Below are 21,123 nucleotides of genomic sequence, written 5' to 3'. Positions count from 1 at the left end.
ATTGTGGATAACCAAGAGACCTACTATTTGCAGTTGGTATCTAAAGTAGCAGGCAGTCATGTGGTACTGAGCCCTTAACCTGTGGGTCTGATACTGTGTAGTGAGTGTCAGAATTGAATTGAATCACTGGACACCTAGTTGGTATCTACAGAGAAACAGAGAATGGCCAGGTGTAGGAGAAAACAAACCCAAACATTTGGTGTCAGAAGCATTATGAGAAAAAGGAACAGTTTTTTCCTTTAAAGTCCTTTATTATTACGATCTTCTGCCTTTCCAGAAAAATATTTATCTTCAGTAAAAAGAAACAGTGCATGTATGGTGATAAACAGAGTTGACATGCAGCCTGCATGCCAGGGATTCAAAAAGGAAGAAGAGTAGGCTCTGTGACAAACCACAGAAATGTGTACCATCCAAAGGAAGCAGCCACTACTCAATTCCAGTCAATCACTGCCATGTGGCAGTGAAAATTCATATTACCAGATATCTGGTCCTTCATGTGAAACACTATTAAACACTGGCTCAAAATTTATCAAACAAACCAAACATGCCTGAGTTGAATTTAGTGTACCCATTGTTAGTTGCAACCTCTGTCACCCTCTCAACATTCAATGTAGTAAGCAGCCCAATGATCTGGGGAATTTATGTGTACAAGAAGGATTAAAATACGTATATTAATTTAATTCAACAAATAATTATTGAGCACTTGCTAAGGGCCAAAGGATATGGTAGTAGTCACAAGACAGGACAGGTCCCCAGACACTGACCCATACTGCAGTGTCGCATCATGCTCGAACGTGGTAAACTACATTCACCTAAAGTAGTACTCTGACAGTCTATTTTATATTCTTCTGGAAGTTCAGTTTAGTGCAAACATTTGTGTAACACCTATGGTGTTCAGACACTGTGCTAAGAGCTTGGAGGACAAAAATGAGCAAGATCAATCTTAGCTCCAAGGAGTTTACAGTCTAATAAGGGAGACACACACCTAGGCAGGTAATTTCAATTTAATAATGTGAGTGCTAGGCCAAAGGTGTGCACAGGGGCCTCTGCCAAAACACAGGAGGGATACTAAGGGCACCCAGAAATCCAAGGAAGGTTTTCCAGAAAAAAATTGACACTGGTGTGGTATCTTGAAGGATAAGTAAGGGTAAGCTAGATGGAAAGGGCATTCGAAGAAGAGAGAACCTCATGATAAACATCACAGAGGTATGGAATAGCATGGTGCCTGCAGGGGGGTCTCAGAAAATTCAGCATTACTAGACGTCAAAACATAAGGTGATGAATGTCAGAAGATGAAGCTAAAGAATCAAGTAAGGGACTTGAGAGTATACCACACCATGGAATGAGTCTGCACTTGATTCTCTCGGTAGAGTCAAATCCCCTAAGATATGATTGCATTTAAAGTTGTTTTTGAGATCAATGAAGGAGGGTGGTACTAATTTTCTATGGAGAAATTGGAGGGAGCATGTAGACCACAGATCACTAACTTATGATATAAAATATTATCATTCTTTGGAAAGAATTGCTAGTCTAACGGACATTTTGTTCTTTCACAGATAGTTTTAAAAAACTTGAATGCTACTTAACCAAGATGTTTTTAAAAACCTAAGTATGTTAAATCCTTGAAGATCATTCAAAACCTTTGATTTCTTAATTGGGTGGCAGGGGATCGGGGGGCGGGAGCGGTGGTAAGACAGGGGATGAAAACAAACGTGAAAAATATTGGCCGAGAAATTTTCTCCTTAAGAAAAAACTCCTGGATCTTTAAAGAAGGACACATGACAAAATGTTGAATAAATAACATGTTTTCGTATTATTTTGATTTTGTGAACTCTAGAGAAAAGCTTTCCATGAGGAAATATTTTATGAGAAGGCAAAGTGATGAAAAATCAGGACAGGAATGAAATATACTTTGAATGGCTTGCTTCTTTAACTTCTAGGTCATAAACTAGACCAAAAGTTGAAAGTCTTACAGGCTACCATCAAAGTCCAGGGCTACAAGCAGGAGACAATAAAAAGGAGATTCTTCTCTTTTCTGCCAGGGAAAACTTCTATCCTCTGCAAACAAAGATGGTTTGGTTCAATGTCGACAAGCTCTTCCTAACTTATGCAGAAAGGCGGTATAATTTAAGGTTCTACGGGGTGTATTTAGAGAATTAGATAGTCCTGGGTTTGAATCCTTGCTTTGCCATTATCTAGCTCTGTGACATTAGGCCAATTACTTAGGTTACTTAACAGCTGTGTACCTTAATTTACTCCTCTGAAAACAGAGATAATAACACCTGCCTTGTGTGGGTACTGCAAATCTGAAGTAATATAACGTAAATAGTTTGACACAGTGCCTCGCACATTATAACCATGTAGTCATCAATAAATGTTAGTTATTACTATATGAGATGGTTAATACTGAGTGTCAACTTAACTGGATTGAAGGATGCAAAGGATTGATCCTGGGTGTGTCTGTGAGGATGTTGCTAAAAGAGATTAACATTTGAGTCAGTGGGCTGGGGAAGGCAGACCCACCCTTAATCTGGGTGGGCACCATCTAATCAGCTGCCAGCGAATATAAAGCAGGCAGAAAAACATGAAAAGGTTAGACTGGCTTAGCCTCCCAGCCTACATCTTTCTCCTGTGCTAGATGCTTCCTGTTCTTGTACCTCAGACAGCGGGTTCTTCAGCTTTGGGACTCAGACTGGCTTCCTTGCTCCTCAGCTTGCAGATGGCCTGTTGTGGGACCTTGTGATTGTGTCAGTTAATAAGTTAATACTACTTAATAAACCCCCTTCATATATATATATTATATCATATTAGTTCTGTCCTTTGAGAGAACCTAATACACCATATAAATGTTTCAATTATCTTTTTTTTTTTTTTTTGAGATGGAGTCTTGCTCTGTCGCCCAGGCCAGAGTGCAGTGGCGCAGTCTCAGCTCACTGCAAGCTCTGCCTCCTGGGTTCACACCATTCTCCTGCCTCAGCCTCCCAAGTAGCTGGGACTACAGGTGCCCACCACCACGCCCGGCTAATTTTTTGTATTTTTAGTAGAGTTGGGTTTCACCATGTTAGCCAGGATGGTCTCTATTTCCTGACCTCGTGATCCACCCACCTTGGTCTCCCAAAGTGTTGGGATTACAGGCGTGAGCCACTGCGCCTGGCCACCTCAATTATCTTTCTTAAAAGGCATTATGAAACACTGAAAATCTATATTGAAATCAGCAAACTTCAATATAGCAAGGGAAGATTTAGCACCAACATTTTAATTGACTCATTACAAAAACCCCTTCCCCCCAAAAGAAGATATTTCTTGATTTTTTATATTTAAGATATCCTAAACATTTTTATTCATGTTACAACTTGTAACACAGCACCATGCATGTATTATTGAAATGTCTGGTTTTTTGTTTGTCTTGTTTTTATTGAGGCAAGGTCTCACTCTGTTGCCCAGGCTGGAGTGCAGTGGCGTGATCAGGGCTTACTGCAGCCTTGACCTCCTGGGATCCTCTGACCTCAGTCTCCAAAGTAGTTGGGACCACAGGTGTACATCAGCATGCTCGGCTAATTTTTTTTTTATTTTTAGAGAGATGGGGTCTCACTATGTTGCCCAGGCTTGTCTGGAACTCTTGGGCTCAAGTGATCCATCCGTTCGTGTGATCATCCTTCCAAACTGCTGAAATTACATGCGTAAGACACTGTATCTGGCCTTGAAATATTTCAATTCACTTACACAGGTAAAACGTGGGGGTAACAATTCAACAACAACAAATAACAGAAGATTAACATTAAAATAGATATCAAGGTCATCTGGCATATCTGCAGTAATCATTTCAATACCTGCATTATATTTAGCTCACATGAATGTTTAAAAAACAACAAAACCTCTCTAAAACCTTATCCTTTCTATGATTCTGACTGTAGTTTTGTTTAGCACATTTTCTTTGCTCATGCTGCAAGGCATGTGTGCTCTGACCATCATTTCCTTCCCCTTTTGCATTACTCATTTCTCTTGCCCTCTGATTCACTTGTCTGCCTAATTTCCTTTCTCACTTCACTTCCCCTTCTTCCACTTCTTTGGCATTACATAAATACTGAGGACTATGAATAATTGAATCACTGCTTGCTAAGTGACCACGTGTTTGGAAGAAAAGCAAATGAATATTTTTAAAATAAGCTACTTCTAAGTATTTTCTATATGGTGATATCTTCCTCAAATTGACATTAAAATCATAAGCAACTAAGATGGAGTTTTTACCACTAATAATTATACAAATCTTCAGGAAAAAGTTATACAGTGAGGAGAAAAGAACTGATCACAAACTTAAATGCAATTGCAGAAAATTAAACTGAAATACTAATTAGCCCACTTCATTTATCAGAGTTAATACACTCCTATACTTCTCAATAGCAAACCCTAACATATACAACTCCAGGATTATAAACCAACTATCAATTCAAGTTAAAAAAAAAAAAAACTTCAAAAACGAAAATTAGAGGATATCCCAATGAAACATCAAGACTTTCATGTTTTCTTAACAGCTGATTTACTAATGACGACAAAGTCAAAACCACCAAAGTAAACTGCAAAGTGAAGCTGGAATAGGCAAGTATGAAAACTTCCACATGGAAAGTTGAATTTGTCCCAAAAAGCAGAACAAGCTGTGACTATATCTTATAGCAAAACAGTTACAAAAAGTTTAAGACAAAAGTACTCTGATAAGTCATAAGATTTAAGCACTATTTAAATGTCACCACAATAATTCTCTGTCACAGAATTATAGAGATAATCTGACCCAACGTTCTTCAAACTCTGGGCCACTGACATTAGAATCACTTAGGCAACTTGATGAAAGTTTAGATTCCTAGAAGCCAACCAGACCAAGTGAATCAGACTCACAGGGGATGGAGTCCAGGAATTTGCACTGAAAACTCCTGGTATAGGTTAATCTTCTCAAATTACCAATAAAGAAATAAAGGACATACGTGATTAAGCTATGTAAAACCTTCTAAAATTACTTGCTAAACACCAGCCTTCTTAGGGAAATGGGAAGACTAACATTTTGATTCTTGGATCCTAAGGCCAACATTTTTTCTGCTACATCATGCAGCTAATTAGACTTATTAGATTTCAGACCTCAAGGAAAATTTAGAGAAATCCAACAGAAATCTAAGTTAAAGTTCTGAACGGTTTCTAGACTTAGCAAAGTCCTTCCTGTATAACACACTTCCTGCTTTCAGACCGGCTCTTTCCATATGGTAAGGCAGAAACGGTATGCTCAGAGAGGAAACTGTAGCAAAATATCACAAGATCGTTTCATCTGAGGATTCATTCCACCACAGTGAAGTTTGATATTTGAGGTCTCAAACAAATACCAACATAGTACTTTGGCCACACTTCAGGGAGAAAATCTAAGCAGCGAAGAAGGCGAGGAGAGAGGGCAGAAGGGAATATTCACACTAAAATAAAATTTATGATTTAAAATAATGCTCACGGATGCATCCAGAAGTGTTTGTTCCCTCAGTGTCTCCTCTTGTCTTTGAGATTTTAGCTGTTGCTGGAGCCCTTCGTTTTCAAGCACAACTACTTGTATTTTATTTTTCATTCCAGAGAGTTCCTCCTATAATAAACAAAACCAAACACATTAAGCATTATTAAGCAGTGTTTTTATTTGTTGATTATTAGAGGGCACAGCATGATATAAAGTACGGAAGACTTATGTTCTCCTTTTCCTGAAATATAATTATATGTTTAGACAAACAAGGCAGCCTAACATTAGCTAGATAACAAAGAGAAGGCTGGGGTATATAGTAATGGGCCTGCTGGTGGCATATCACAGAAGTGTGTCGTTTCTGACAATTTCCTTTTCTCCAAGGAATCGAGGCTCAAAGAAAAGCCTTAATTAAAAGGGTTATCCAAGAGATTTTAAAGAATGGAGTAGATTCTGAAAAATAAGATATATTATTACTCATGATCAAATACCATCAACTTGTTAAAAACTGATGGAAGATTAAATAGAGGGAGGCTCTGAGATAGAAAGGCATAGACGGGAGTGATGATTATCTATGAAATGGTAGCCAAATAAGAGAGAATTGTAGTAAAACATTTCATGGAGAATTGTGAAAGAGTATTTCCTTGGCCTCACAGGGTGTAATATAAAGAATTACAAATCAATAACAATTAAAATTACAGGATGTAACATAAGAAATTACAGGTCAACAATCATTAGAATAGCTATTGAGTGGCACCTCAGTCTCTGGAAAAACGTTTCAATAATATCAACATATCAATCATATAATACTTAACCTAATATTCACTACTAGTGCAATCAAAAGCTATTGTACAACATGTGAAAATTCCTCTCAATTATTATTTTTTAAAAACCCAAAGCTATAATAAAAAGCTGTAATTTAAAAAATATTGTGGACTTTGAATTTTCAGTCTGGAATGTAATGAGCTTGGAACACCTCACTCCCATCTTCCCAACAGGAAAAATGTTGAACAAACTGAAAATCAACAACTCTTCTTAGATCCATCAGAGAAATGAAGTCATAGGGAAAACTGCTGCCCCAAAACTGAAGAGATGGGTGGACGCTGAGACACAGAATTTACAGGAGGAAATCAGAAACCTCTGTAGGAGGTAGAAAATCTAAATCATAATTGATGACTTGCTGGAAGCTCAGTGTCAGCAAGTTTGAGAGTTAAAAATTCCAGACCGGGCGCGGTGGCTCACGCCTGTAATCCCAGCATTTTGAGGCTGAGGTGGGCAGATCATGAGGTCAGGGGTTCAAGACCAGCCTGGCCAATACGGTGAAACCCCATCTCTACTAAAAATACAAAAATTAGCCAGGTGTGATGGCACACGCCTGTAGTCCCAGCTACTCAGGAGGCTGAGGTAGGAGAATGGCTTGAACCTGGGAGGCCAAGGTTTCAGTGAGCCAAGATCACGCCACTGCACTCCAGCCTGGGTGACAGAGCGAGACTCCGTCTCAAAAAAAAAAAAATTCCAGGAAGACCCAGTCATAGAAGGACTGCCCCACTTCCCCAATTTTATCTCCAGGACACTACCAGGTTTTCACAGTAAAAACTAGAAAAAAATCCCCTTATGCAACCTAAAGGAAGAAGAAAAGCAGCCAGTTTGAAATATGCTTGGCATGTTGCATTCCTTGTAACAGGCCTGCCTCAAGGGAAACGACTTTACCAGAGCCTAACTGACTGGAGGGCTGCTGCCACCTAACCGGCCTAAAAAAAGAGAAATCCAGCTCCAGCCCCCTCTTGCATTCCGTGTGGGAGAGGGGGCCTCCGGCTTCCTCTAGCTATCTCGTCTAACTTAAAGGGCAGGGGAGACTGAGAAGCACTTGTGAACGTCACAGCCCAAGGCAAAGGCTTTACTAAAAGACTTAGATCTAGTCATAGGACTATTGAACGCTTCCCTCTACTCCCACATCTAACGACCACATCACTATGGCTCCCGTATACTGACAGAGAAATTCAACAGAAAGAACTGCATATCTCAGACTATATTTAGGAAGAACTCACTAGGGTAATCCATAGACAACAGAAGAGACAAGACCAGGACACTGAAGGAAATTTTAGCCTCTGACATGTACGGTGACAGCAAACACAGCCTAGCTTCCAGCCAGATAAACATAAAAGCTCATGCTAAAGGCCTACTTACCTCAGTTCCTTTTACCAAATATGTCATGTCCAGCATTCATCAAACAATTACAAGACATGCTAAAAGACTGAAACACAGTTTGAAAAGATTTAACAAGCATCAGAAACAGTCTGAGATAAGGCAAAGATGTTAAAATTATCAGACCAGGAATTTAAAATAATTATGATTAAGGCCAGGCACGGTGGCTCACACCTGTAATCCCAGCACTTTGGGAGGCCAAGGTGGGAGGATCACCTGAGGTCAGGAGTTCGAGACCAGCCTGACCAACATAGTGAAACCCCATCTCTACTAAAAATGCAAAAAAAACTAGCCGGGGGTGGTGGTGCATGCCTGTTATCCCAGCCACTCGGGAGGCTGAGGCAGGAGAATCACTTGAACCCAGGAGGCAGAGGTTGCAGTGAGCCAAGATCACGCCACTGCACTTGAGCCTGGGCAACAGAGTGAGACTCCGTCTCAAAATAAATAAATAAATAAAATAATTATGATTACTATGTTAAGGTCTCTAATAGAAAAAATAGACTATATGCAAGAACAGCGGGGTAATATAAGCAGAGAGATGAAAACTCTATGAAAAGAAAATGCTCAAAATAAAAAACTATTAACAGACATGAAGAGTGCCTTTGAAAGGCTCATCAGTAGACTGGATATAGCTGAGGAATGCATTAGTAAACTTTAAGAATTGTCAATAAGAATTTCCAAAAAAGAAGTGCAATAAGGAAAAAAACTGAAGACAGAAAAATTATACAAGAACTGCAGTACAATTACAAATTGTGTAATAAATATATATATATACATGTATATATATATATATAAATAAACAGGGACACAAAAAAGGAAAGAAAGGAAAAGAAGAAACATTTCAGTCAATAATGACTGAAAAATTTCCTGAATTAATGACAGGCACCAAACCACAGATCTAGGAAGCTCACCGAACACCAAGCAGGATAAATACCCCCCAAAAATACACTGAGGAATATCATATTGATACTGCAGAAAATCAAAGACAAAGAGAAAAATCTTAAAATAAGCCAAAGTAAACAAACAAACAAAGAAAACCCAAAAATCAGGCCGGGTGCGGTGGCTCATGCCTGTAATCCCAGCACTTTGGAAGGCCGAGGCAGGCGGATCATGTGAGGGTCAGGAGTTCAAAACCAGCCTGGCTAACATGGTGAAACCCTGTCTCTACTAAAAATACAAAAATTAGCCAGGTGTGGTGGCAGGCACCTGTAATCCCAGCTACTCGGGAGGCTGAGGCATGAGAATTGCTTGAACCCAGGAGGCAGAGGTTGCAGTGAGCCAAGACCTCGCCACTGCACTCCAGCCTGTGCTATAGAGCGAGACTCAGTCTCAAATAAATAATAATAATTAAAAAACAAAAATCAAACAAACAAAAAAACAAAAACCTTACCTACAAAGAAGCAAGGATAAGAATTACCTGGGAGTACTTTGCAGAAGCCGTGCAAACAGGAAGAGAATAAAATGAATCTAATTTTTAAAGTGTTAAAAGAAAAAACCCACCAACCTAGAATTCTGGATTCAGCAAGATTAACCTTCAAAAGAGAAAGAAAAATATTTTCTTAGACAAACAAGAATTGATGGAATTTATTGCTAGCATATATGCCTTGCAAGAAATGTTTAAAAAAGTTCTTCAGAAAGGAGAAAAGGTGATAAAGTCAGAAACTGCCATCTACATAAAGAAAAAAAGAGTATTAAAGAAGGAATAAGTGGATATAAGATAAAATATTTTCTTATTAATTTGACAGATGACACTTTGTGTTCAACATCATAATTGCAATAGTGTTTGTAGTAATTTTAGTTTATGAATAACTGAAGTTAATGGCAGAAATGTTATAAAGGATGAGAGAGGGCTTGGGAATTCTGTTATAAGCAATTTATACTATTCAAGAAGTGGCATAGGTTTACTTGAAAGTAAACTTAAGTTAGTTATAAATATTTACTGCAAATAACAACAGCATCAATCAACGGCTACCAGCAAAGAAAAAAAAAAAGAAGTACAATTGATCAATTGATATGTGAATTGGAAAAAAATGCAATCATACAAAAATTAGCTGGTTGTGGTGGCTCACCTGTAGTCCTAGCTACTAGGAAGGCTGAGGCATGAGAATTGATTGAACCCAGGAGGCAGAGGTTGCAGTGGGCCAAGATGGAGTCACTGCACTACAGCCTGGGCGACTGAGAGAGACTCTGTCTCCAAAAATAAAAAATAAAATGCAATCATATAAAATGCTCAATCAAAGCCACAAAAGGGACAGGTGCAGTGGCTCACACCTCGTAAGCCCAGCACTTTGGAAGGCTGAGGTGGGAGGATCACTTGGGGCCAGGAGTTCGCCACCAGCCTGGGCAACATAGTGAGACCCCATCTCTGTAAAAAAACATAAAAATTAGCCAGGCATAGTGGTGCATGTCTGTAGTCCTAGCTACTCAGCAGGGAGGCGGTAGGAGGACTGCTTGAGCCCAGGAGTTCTAGGCTGTAGTGAGCTTTGATTACGTCACTGCCTAGGTAACAGGGCAAGACTCTATCTCTAAAAAAAAAAAAAAAAAAGCCAGAGAAGGCAGAAAAAGAGTGAATTTTTTTTAAAGAAACAAAAAATAAAGACAATGAAGATAATAGTAACAAATGTGTTATACATTGATCCAATCATAACAATAATCTCTTTAAATATAATGGTCTGAATATACCAACTAAAAGATAGAGACTGTCAGAATGGTTAAAAAAAAGAACAATAAACTATATGTTGTCTACAAGAAGCCTATAATAACTGGGCAAGGTGGCTCATATCTGTAATCCCAGTTACTTGGGAGGCTGAGATGGGAGGATCCCTTGAGCCCAGGAGTTCAAGACCAGCCTGAGCAATATAGTGAGACCCCATCTCTAACCAAAAAAAAAAAAAAAGAAATCTCAAAACAAAAAAAAAAGCCAATTATAAATACGAAGACACAGATAGATTTAAAATAAATGAAGAAAGATGTATCATGTTAACACTAATCAATAGAAAGTTGGAGTAGCAATATGAATTTTAGACAAAGCAGACTTCAGACCAATGAAAATGATCAGAGATAAAGAGGTACATTACATGATGATAAAGAGGTCCATTCACCAAGAAGACGTTACAAGTCTTAATGTATATGTGCCTAATAAAAGTGTATCAAAATGTATGAGGCAAAGGAAAACACATGAATCCACTATTACAGTTGGAAATTTCAACATCCCCTGTCAAAAATTATAAAAATCACAAAGGGCACAATTGAAATGAACAACAGCATCAATCAACTGGATCTAACTGACATTTATAGACTACTTCATCCAAGAACAGCAGTACACACGTTTTCTTCAGGCTCACACAGAACATTCACCAAGACAGACTACAATGTACAAACCTTAACAAATTTAAAAGAATAGGAAAGTATGCTGTCAGACAACAATGGAATTAAACCAGAAATCAATAACAGAACGATAGCTGGGAAACTCCCCAAATACTTGATGATGACACAACACTCTTCTAAATGACACACATGAATCAAAGAAGTATCAAGAGCCATTTAGAAATATTTTCAACTAAGTAAAAATTAAAATACAACTGATAAAAAGCTATATACTTATTAAAAGGATGCAGCAAAAGGAGTGTAAAAAAATTAGAAAAGAAGAAAGATTTCAAATAAATAATCTAAGCTTCTACTTTAGAAGTTGCAAAACCAATAGCAAATTAATTCCAGAGTAAGCAGAAAAGAACATATAATAAAAATTAGAGTAAAAATCAATGAAATTAAAAATAGAAAATCAACAGAGAAAAACAACAAAACCAAAAGTTGGGTCTTTGAAAAGATGAATAAAATTGATAAGACTATATACAGGTTAAGAAAAAAAGAGAAAATATCAATTAGATTCTATCATATACTAAGATCAGAAGTGAAAATGGGGCTATCACTACTGATCCCATGAACATTAAAAGGATAATAAAGAAATGTTTAAAAAACAGGATAACAAAGAAATACTATGAACAACTCCATGATCATGAATTTAGTCACCTAGATGAAATGCACCAATTCTTTGTAAGACACAATCCATGAAAACTCACAGAGGGAGGAATAGATAATCTGAATAAACCTATATTTATCAAGAAAATTAAATCAATAATTAGCAACCTTTCAAAACAGAAAGCACCAGGCCCAGGTAAGTTCACTAGTGAATTCTATCAAATATTTAAGAAAGAAATTATACCAATTATCTATAATATATTTCATAAAATTCAAGAGGAAGTATTTCCTAACTCATTTTATGAGGCCAGCATTAACCTAATACCCGAACCAAGTGAAAACATTACAAGAGTGGAAAATTACAGATCAATATGTCTAATGAACATAGATGAAAAAATCCTCAATAAAATACTAGCAAATCAAATCCAACAATGTAAAAAAGAATTATACACCAGGATAAAGTAAGATTTATTCTAATTACACAACATTGGTTCGACATTTGAGGATCAGTTAATGTAATCCATCATATCAACAATGTTGAGAAGAAAAATCATAATTTTAACAGTAGAGGCAGGAAAAGCTTTTGACAAAATGCGGCAGCCATCTATGATAAACACAGATGGTCCCTGACTTGTGATGGTTTGACTTATGATTTTTTTGACGTTATTATGCTGCAAAAGCAATATGCATTCAGTAGAAACCATAATTCAAGTTTCAAATTTTGTTATTTTCTCAAGCTAGCAATATGTAGTATAATATTCTCTCATGATGCTGGGCAGCAGCAGTGGCAGTGAGCTGTAGCTCCCAGTTAGCCATGCAATCACAGAGGTAAACAACCAATAATCTATAGTATATTCAATGCATTTTCAACTTACAACGAGTTTATCAGGACGCAATCCCATTTTAAGTCGAGAGGCATCTGTACTCTCAGTAACTAGGAATAGAGGAAACATTCTCAACTTGATAAAGAACATCTACAAATAACCTATAGCTAATATACTTTATGGTAGGAAAGTAGTTTCCCACTAAGATCAGGAACAAGGCAAAGATGGCCCCTCTCACAACCATTCAACATCATTCCAAAAAGTCTTAGCTAATGCAATAAGACAATTAAAAAAATAAAATCTGGCTGGGCACATTTGCTAAAGCCTGTAATCTCAACACCTTGGGAAGCCCAGGCAGGAGGACTGTTTGAGCCCAGGAGTTCAAGACCAGCCTGGGCAACATGATGAGACCTCAATTCTACAAATAATAATAATAATAATAAAATAGCCAAGCATGGTGGTGTGCACCTGTGGTCCCAGCTACTAGGGAGGCTGTGGTAGGAGGATCACTTGCGCCCAGGATGTCAAGGCTACAGTGAGCCATGATTATGCCACTGCACTCCAGCCTGTGCACTCCAGCAAGACCCTTCCTCAAGAAAATTAATTAAAATAAATGAAAAATTTAAAAAACACAAAATCTAAATATATTGGAAAGGAGAAAATAACACTGTCTTTCGTTTGCAGACAATATGCTTGTCAATGAGGAAAATCCCAAAGAATCAACAAAAAATGCTGGAACTAATAAGTGACTTATACCAAGGTTGCAGAATACAAGGTCAATATACAAAGTCAATTGTTTTCTTCTATATTAGCAATAAATAATTGGAATTTGAAATTAAATACATAATACCATTACACTAAAAAATAAAATAGGTGGCTGGGCACAGTGGCTCATGCCTGTAATCCCAGCACTTTGGGAGACCGAGGCGGGTGGATCACGAGTTCAGGAGTTCGAGAGCAGCCTGGCCAACATAGTGAAACCCCATCTCTATTAAAAATACAAAAATTAGCCAGGTGTGGTGGCACACACCTGTAGTCCCAGCTATTCGGGAGGCTGAGGCAGAAGAATTGTTTGAACCCGGGAGGCGGAGGATGTAGTGAGCTAAGACTGCAACATTGCACTCCAGCCTGGGTGACAGAGCGAGACTCCACCTCAAAAATAAAATGAAATAGGTATAAATCTCACAAAATTTGTAGAAGATCTATTTGAGGAAAACCACAACACTGATTAAAGAAATCAAAGAAGATCTAAGTAAATAGAGATATTCCATGTTCATGGATAGGGATACTCAATAGTATCAAAATGCCAGTTATTCCCAACTTGATCAATAGATCCAACACAATTCCAATCCAAATCCTATTTTGTGGATATCGACAAACTGATTCTAAAGTTTACAGGGAGATGCAAAAGTCCCAGAATACTCATCACAATATTGAAAAAGAACAAAATTAGAGTACTGATATTACCCAACTTCAAGACTTAATGTAAAGCTACAGTAATCAAGATAGAGTGATAGTGGCCAAAGAATTGACAAGTTAATCAATGGAACAGGAAAGCCCAGAAATAGACCCAAAAATATGGACAACTATCCTTCAAACATGATCTAAATGTAAAATAAACAATTATAAAATACTAGAAGAAGAAAGGAGAAAATATAGTGAACCTGGATTTGGTAATAAATTTTTAAACACAAAGTTAAAAGTACAATCTATGAAAGAAAAAAATTGGTAAGTTAAACTTCATTAAAATTAAAAATTTCTGCTCATTGAAAGATACTGTTAAGAGAAGTAAATGCCAAGTCAAAGACTGGGAGAAAATACTTGAAAAAGACATATCTGATAAAGGACTGGCATCCAAAATACAGAAAGAATTGTTGAAACTCAACACTAAGAAAACGAATAACCTGATTTTAAAAATGGGTGAACGACCTGAACAGACACCTCACTCAAAGATGTTACATAGGTGGAATATAGGCATAGGAAAAGATGCTCAGCATCATTTGTGATCAGGGAATTGAAATTAAAACAGCAATGAGGTTCCACTACACATCTATTAGAACAGCTAAAATCTAAAACACTGACAACACCAAATGCTAATGAGGATATGGAGTATTAGGAACTCTCATTTACTGCATAATGCATAACGGTACAACCACTTTAGAAAAGTTAGGCAATTTCTTGCAAAGTTAAAATTAGTCTTACCATATGATGCAGAAATTGAGCTTCTTGGTATTTACTTTAAAGAGGTAAAAACAGATGTCCACACAAAAACTGACACACAAATGCTTACAGTAGCTTTATTCGCAATTGCCAAAACTTGGAAGCAACAAAGATGCCCTCCCATAGGTGCACAGATAAAAAAGCTATGGTATATTCATCTAATTGAATACTACTTAATAATAAAAAGAAATGAGCTATCAAGTTATGAAAAGACAAGGAGGAAACTTGAATTCATATTACTAAGTATAATAGGCCAGTCAGAAAAGGCTATATACAGAATAATTCCAAGTATATGACATTCTGCAAGTCAAAACTATGGAGAGAGTAAAAAGATCAATGGTTGCCAGGGGATGGGAGGGAAGGGGCGGAGGGGAAGAGGGATGAATAAGTGAAGCGCAAGAGGATGTTTCAGACAGTGAAACTATTCTATATGATACTGTAATGGTGGATATATGTCATTATACACTTGTCAAATTCGTAGAATGTATAACACAAAGCTAATGCAAACTGAGAGACTTAGATAATAATAATTTAACAATAGTGGTTCATCAGTTGTAACAAATGTGCCACACTGATGCAAGATGTTAATAACAAGGGAAACTATTAGGTGAGGGATGTCACTGAAAGGAGGATACAGGACTCTATGTGTTTGCCATTCAACCTTTCTATAAACCTAAAACTGATCTAAAAAATAAAGTCCATTAACTAAATAAACAAAATCTTTCTAAACCACTTAAACATTATTTTAATTCTATTCTTCTCTTACTAAAATGTATCAAATTTACACTCTGTCTGACAGTCAAGGCTTCCGTAATCTTCCATTTTACCAGTTCAGGATTACTTTCATTATTTCTATGAGACATTCTCCACTGCAGGAAGATAAAGTAGATGGCTTATGGCCCCCACAAACCATATTCATCCTGAATACTGTGTTTCACTGTTGCCATTCTCTTTATGAAACTCATCTCCCTTCTGCTGATCTAAATGATCCTATTCCTTTAAGACTGGTTTAGGCCGGGCATCGTGGCTCATACCGGTAATTCCAGCACTTTGGGAGACCAAGGCGGACGGATCACGAGGTCAAGAGATCGAGACCATGCTGGCCAACATGGTGAAACCCCGTCTCTACAAAAAATACAAAAATTAGCTGGGCGTGGTGGCGCAGGCCTGTAATCCCAGCTACTGGGGAGGCTGAGGCAGGAGAATAGCTTGAACCAGGGAGTCGGAGGTTGCAGTGAGCGGAGACTGTGACACCGCACTCCAGTCTGGCGACAATGCGAGACTCCATCAAAAAAAAAAAAAAAAAAAAAAAAAAAACATTGGTTCAAGATCTCTCTCTCCCATAGAAACATTCCCAAAGACAGTAGCTTTTCCTAACCTTCTTCTCTTATTATAATTATAGCTTATACCAAAAAGTAAAGGCCTATACTATGTTCTCTAATGTGCTCCTTATGGTGTTAATAGGGAATAGTTCTGTCTTCTCAACTAGATAGTAAATTTATTCTGCTTTATATCTTTCAAGTTTTATCCACAACATCTTAGGGATTAATAGAGTATTGTTAATGAAATAGTTCCTAGGATATTATTTCAGCTTTACTGGTAATCCAGGACCACGTGTATATTAATAACTGTGTCCTCCAAGAACAAACAGGAAATTACATGTTAAGATCAGAAACTCCCCGGTAAAATCAGGACAGTGAAACATCTAAAGCCTCCTTAAGTTACATACTGGCCTTGCATCTTAAAATGTCAACAATATAATACATAATATCATATACTATATATAAAAACATGATACAAGAGATATCAGTGATTCCTATAAAAATATCATACAATCGAATACACTGATACTAGAAAGAAAGAAAGAGGGAGGGAAAGAAAGAAAGAGAGAAAGAAACAGAAAAAAAAAAGTAAAACACGACATACTTCGGGAAGATGAAAAGGCTCTATTAGCATTAATGACATTAGCAAACTGCACGCAGTTGAGCATATAACCTTCTAGTGTCATAAGCTATATATGATGTGTTTGGTTTCTTGATCATTACTGTCAGTACCCTATGAACCATTCTCATTCAAAGTCAAAGTAAGAGCCTTAATACTGACAGCGGAGAAGAATTGGTCTACCAGTTTAGAATCCCTGATTGCTGTACCACTGCTCCAGTAGGTTGACAAGTATGGGAGAATGATTGGTATTTGTATTCCAAAGCATTTGCCATTTGCTGGGCTACAGCAAGCGGGGTGAGAAGGAAAACTTCTGAAATATGAAAGCATATTATGAAATCATTAGACATAGTAATGAACTACTGGGAAATCAAGCAATCAGAAATGGTATGGTCAAGAGCATCATTCCCAAGTCTGACAAGCTCTTGTGACACATCAGTCTCTCAATCACGTAAGAATAGCAATTGTCAATGTATTGCTACAAACATGAAGATTTATAGCAGCAAATTTTAATACAATCTATAGTTAATATAAGCTTTCATTTATTTAGTTTTAAATTCTTAATGAGAAACTTACCTTGCAGAACTTAACTTCTGCCTCTAAATGATGAATATATTGAGACTGGTCATTAATAGTATGAACAAGGTCGTGCATAGTAGGCATATTGGTTTCCTCATGTTCTAATGACCTCTATGACAAAAAATAAATAAATAAATACATAAATACATAAATTTTAAAAAGCCAAATTAAGCATGTTTGGATTTAGCAAAGAATCAGTTGTTACCTTCTCCATACTCAATTTTGCACTGATGTGATATAAACATAGAATCGATCACAATGTAGCTTATAGTCTTGATATAGTTTGGATGCTTGTCCCCCACAAACCTCAAGTTGAAATGTGGCCCCCAGCATTGGAGGTGGGGCCTGGTGGGAGGTGTTTCGGTCATGATGAATGAATCTTGGTGCTATCCTCATGATAATGAGTTCTTGCTCTGAGTTTTGGTGAGATTTGGTTGTTTAAAAGAATGTGACACCTCTCCCACTTCTTGCTCTGGCTCTCACCACATGAAATGCCTGCTCCCCTTTCACCTTCCACCATGACTGAAAGTTTCCTGAGGCCCTCACCAGAGTGAGATGCCAGTATCACACTTCCTATACAGCCTGCAGAACCATGAGCTGATTAAACCTCTTTTTTAAATAAATTACCCAGCCTCAGGTATTTATTTTTAGCAACACGAGAATGGACTAATACAAATACTTGCTTCTCTATCCTATAAATTCCACAAATACACAAGATTCATGGATGTGAATATCATTTTTTTTAAAGATGGATGGTGAAAGTGGTTATAAAAAGCACATATAGTGAATGGAAAAATGCTGGGGTAGCAGTAGTATAACTGGCTTGGAATAAACTATTTTAACAAATTGGAAAAACAACATTCCATTCAGTAATGCTGAGATACAAGGGACAACTCTCTCCAAGAAACTGCCATGGAAGAGGATTTGCTAGCTAAAACTGCAGCAGCTCCGTGAAGGAGAGATTCTTTAGGAAGCGTTTGATGCCAAGCCAGTGTCAATGCGATGAAATTCCATCTCAAAAAAGATACATTAGCAAAATGTAGTTTTTGATTTTTGGCTCTAGTATTGAAGGCAATTCAAGTGTATGGTGTTCTGGAGCATAGAACCTCCAAGAGTAGAACCCTAAAGTAGAGACACACTGCATTGAGGGGTCCAACGAAGAGATTTCAAAAAAACGCTAATGCTATTTTAGCTCTGTAGCATTCCTGGAACTGACTGTTAATGTATAGCTTACCTTATCCTAAAATAGTTTGTAAAATCATATACCCATCACATAATTTTTTTTTTAAAGGATGAGGAAATCAGGAAAAGGTAAAACAAGGGTCAACCAGTTAAACAAAGCCAGAGGAAAGCTTGAAATGAGGCACAGTGTCTGTTTCTCAGCCACTCTCTTTCTCAGCACAGCAGACATTTTAAATGATAATCAAGTACCAGCTATCATGGCAGAATAAAATAAAATAGAGCTTTGGTTTTTTGGTATATTTAAGAAATTTAAAAACCAAAGTAACTCTAATTAAATGAATTATCTGTCCTGAGTAGAAATCAAACAATTATAATCATCCTCCATTAATAGCAATAGGTTCAGAAGATAGGCAAATATAAATTACTACTATGAGTATACAGGAGGAAGTCAATGTGAAAAATAAAAAGCTCAAGCCAATATTGTATGAAAAATGTTCACATGAAATCATTTGTGTCTACTTTGAAGGGCTTTAGTTTAGATATCTACATTTTAAGACAATAAGTAATAACTTTTTTTCCATCTCAACAGTGCCTCAGTTTTACTCTCAATATATGCATGTATTTCTAATATGTTATACTGGCTATGAAAGTGCATTCTAAAGGTATAATCTTAAAAAGCTAATTATTACTATTATGGTTTATAATTATTACATGTAGGCTGTATACATATAGAGTCTAAGTTCCATTCTTTTACATAGCTCCATATAAATAGACTTGTGTATTTTAAAGTGCACTCTGTATGTACTAAACTGATTCTCTTAGTGAAGGTCTTCCTGCCTGTCTGGATTCAGTAAGCTCCATAATATCACTGCTCAGACTTTAAAAGGCAAATAAGCATGTCTGAGCATTCAACAGATAAAGCAACTTCATCTAGTAGATTTAAAAGCATTCCACCAGTCTGTGCTTAAGAGCAAGCTAGAAACCAGATGTCAATAGTAATAAATTCATTAAATGATGAGATGTTTTACTAAAATTATAAAATCTGTATCTATAAATTTAGAATATGCATATGAAGTACATTTCTCTAAAGTAGGAATTAAGCTTAAAAGTATGTGTCAGCCTGGAATGGAGTGTTCGTATGGGAGTGATACTCTGATATTTCAGTGGTGAAGAAAAGAAAGTGACATGTCTCCACACTTTTCAGCATACAGGCATTGTATTGAACTAGAAAACACATTGAAAATGTGAGGTGGTTACTTGCTGCTATGCATGTTATGTTTATGTAACACTTCATAGGTTTCTAAAGAATTTTAAGTATGTAATCTTATCTCATTATTCCAAAAACTCTGTGAGACAGGCACAATATCTTAGAGAGTATGTGATAGACCCTAGATAGAACTAAGCCCTTGACTATTATTTTGTCCACTTAAATCTGGTCCAGAGTGCTTTCACTCACATCTATCTCAGCCTTTAGCATATAAAATGCTTTAATCAGAAATAATACACTCTGTCAAAGCAATAACAAACAACTTCAGAAGAAATACAGCACCACTTCTTATATATCATACTATTTTATAACCATATATTTTAACATATAGAACATTACATATTAAAACGTATTATTTTGAGGCCAGGCGCGGTGGCTCACACCTATAATCCCGGTGCTTTGGGAGGCCGAGGCTGATGGATTTCCTGAGGTTCAGAGTTCGAGACCAGCCTAGCCAATATGGTGAAACCCCATCTCTACTAAAAATACAAAAAATTAGCCTGGTGTGGTAGTGCACATCTGTAAACCCAAATACTAGGGAGGCTGAGGCAGGAGAATCGCTTGAACCAGGGAGGCAGAGGTTGTAGTGAGGCGAGATCATGCCACTGCACTCTAGCCTGAGCAACAGAATGAGACTCTGTCTCAAAAAAATTAATTAATTAATTAAAAATAAAATGTATTATTTTGACACTCAAAATTTAAAAAATATTACAAAGTAGGGCTACAATTATAATTAAGTAACTTCTAAAAATGATCAATAATAGATATGACCCTCTAAAAAAGAAATTACTAAAATAATGACTTTATCTTTTACATATATTCTGACATATAATTTATTATATTAATTTATTATATATTATATATTTATATTACATATTTTGCTAACAGTTGCAAAATAAATTCTCCAAACTATTCCCTTGCTCCCATTTTCCAAGTGAATAATAAATTTAAAAAATCAAGATTCCCTCTGCCATGGAAATCTATTTTTTCAGCCAAAATAATCAGAGGGAAGAGAATTACTTTTAATGTTTTTCACTATTAGTATGCCATGCTTAAATTTTTTCTGCAACATGTACTACAAAATAACACAATACAGTAAAACACAGGAATGCTTTGTCAACTTGGAAAAGTTGATACTTACCAAGGGGGACATTTTTCTTCTTCTTGACGGAGATACTTCACTTTCCTTATCTGCTTGTTGGCGCAACAAATCTTTGAGCTGATTAACTATAGAGCAAAAGCAGAGGGTTTATTAACCTTATTTGAGATCCATGGTTTCTTACCACCCATCCATCCTTCCAACTAATAAAAATTGCTGATATATTATGCATCAAGAATTCTGCTATCAACTGGGGATACAAGACCAACATAAAAAAAAAAAAAGAATTTCTACCCCTTAAGAGCTAAGAATCTAGCAAGGAAGAGAGAGACACTAATAGATATAA

General features: G+C 36.8%; 1 protein-coding gene across 6 annotated transcripts in view, besides 1 other annotated feature; it reads right to left on the bottom strand.

Annotated features, from left to right (window-relative positions):
- SDCCAG8 (SHH signaling and ciliogenesis regulator SDCCAG8) overlaps positions 1-21,123 on the bottom strand; it is a 244,051-nt gene that overhangs the window by 208,209 nt on the left and 14,719 nt on the right. For all 6 annotated transcript variants that reach the window (NM_001350249.2, NM_001350251.2, NM_001350248.2 and 3 more), the window contains exons 3-5: positions 20,820-20,905; positions 17,227-17,340; positions 5,486-5,611 (exon numbers count right to left, since the gene is read on the bottom strand). In NM_001350249.2, coding sequence (NP_001337178.1) covers positions 5,486-5,611; positions 17,227-17,340; positions 20,820-20,831 — 252 coding nt within the window. In that variant the 5' untranslated portion in view covers positions 20,832-20,905. The remainder of the gene's footprint in view (positions 1-5,485; positions 5,612-17,226; positions 17,341-20,819; positions 20,906-21,123) is intronic.
- Positions 6,326-7,062: an enhancer, noted in NCBI's record as "H3K27ac-H3K4me1 hESC enhancer chr1:243448123-243448859 (GRCh37/hg19 assembly coordinates)". NCBI's record gives its function as "activates a minimal SCP1, AML or CMV promoter by ChIP-STARR-seq in naive H9 embryonic stem cells {active_cell/tissue: H9 hESC(naive)}" and the evidence as "EXISTENCE:reporter gene assay evidence [ECO:0000049][PMID:30033119]".

Source organism: Homo sapiens, chromosome 1 (assembly GCF_000001405.40).
Source record: "Homo sapiens chromosome 1, GRCh38.p14 Primary Assembly".
NCBI classification, from domain to species: domain Eukaryota; kingdom Metazoa; phylum Chordata; class Mammalia; order Primates; family Hominidae; genus Homo; species Homo sapiens.
The sequence above is the reverse complement of the archived record's forward strand: the minus strand, read 5'-3'. Positions and strand labels throughout refer to the sequence as shown.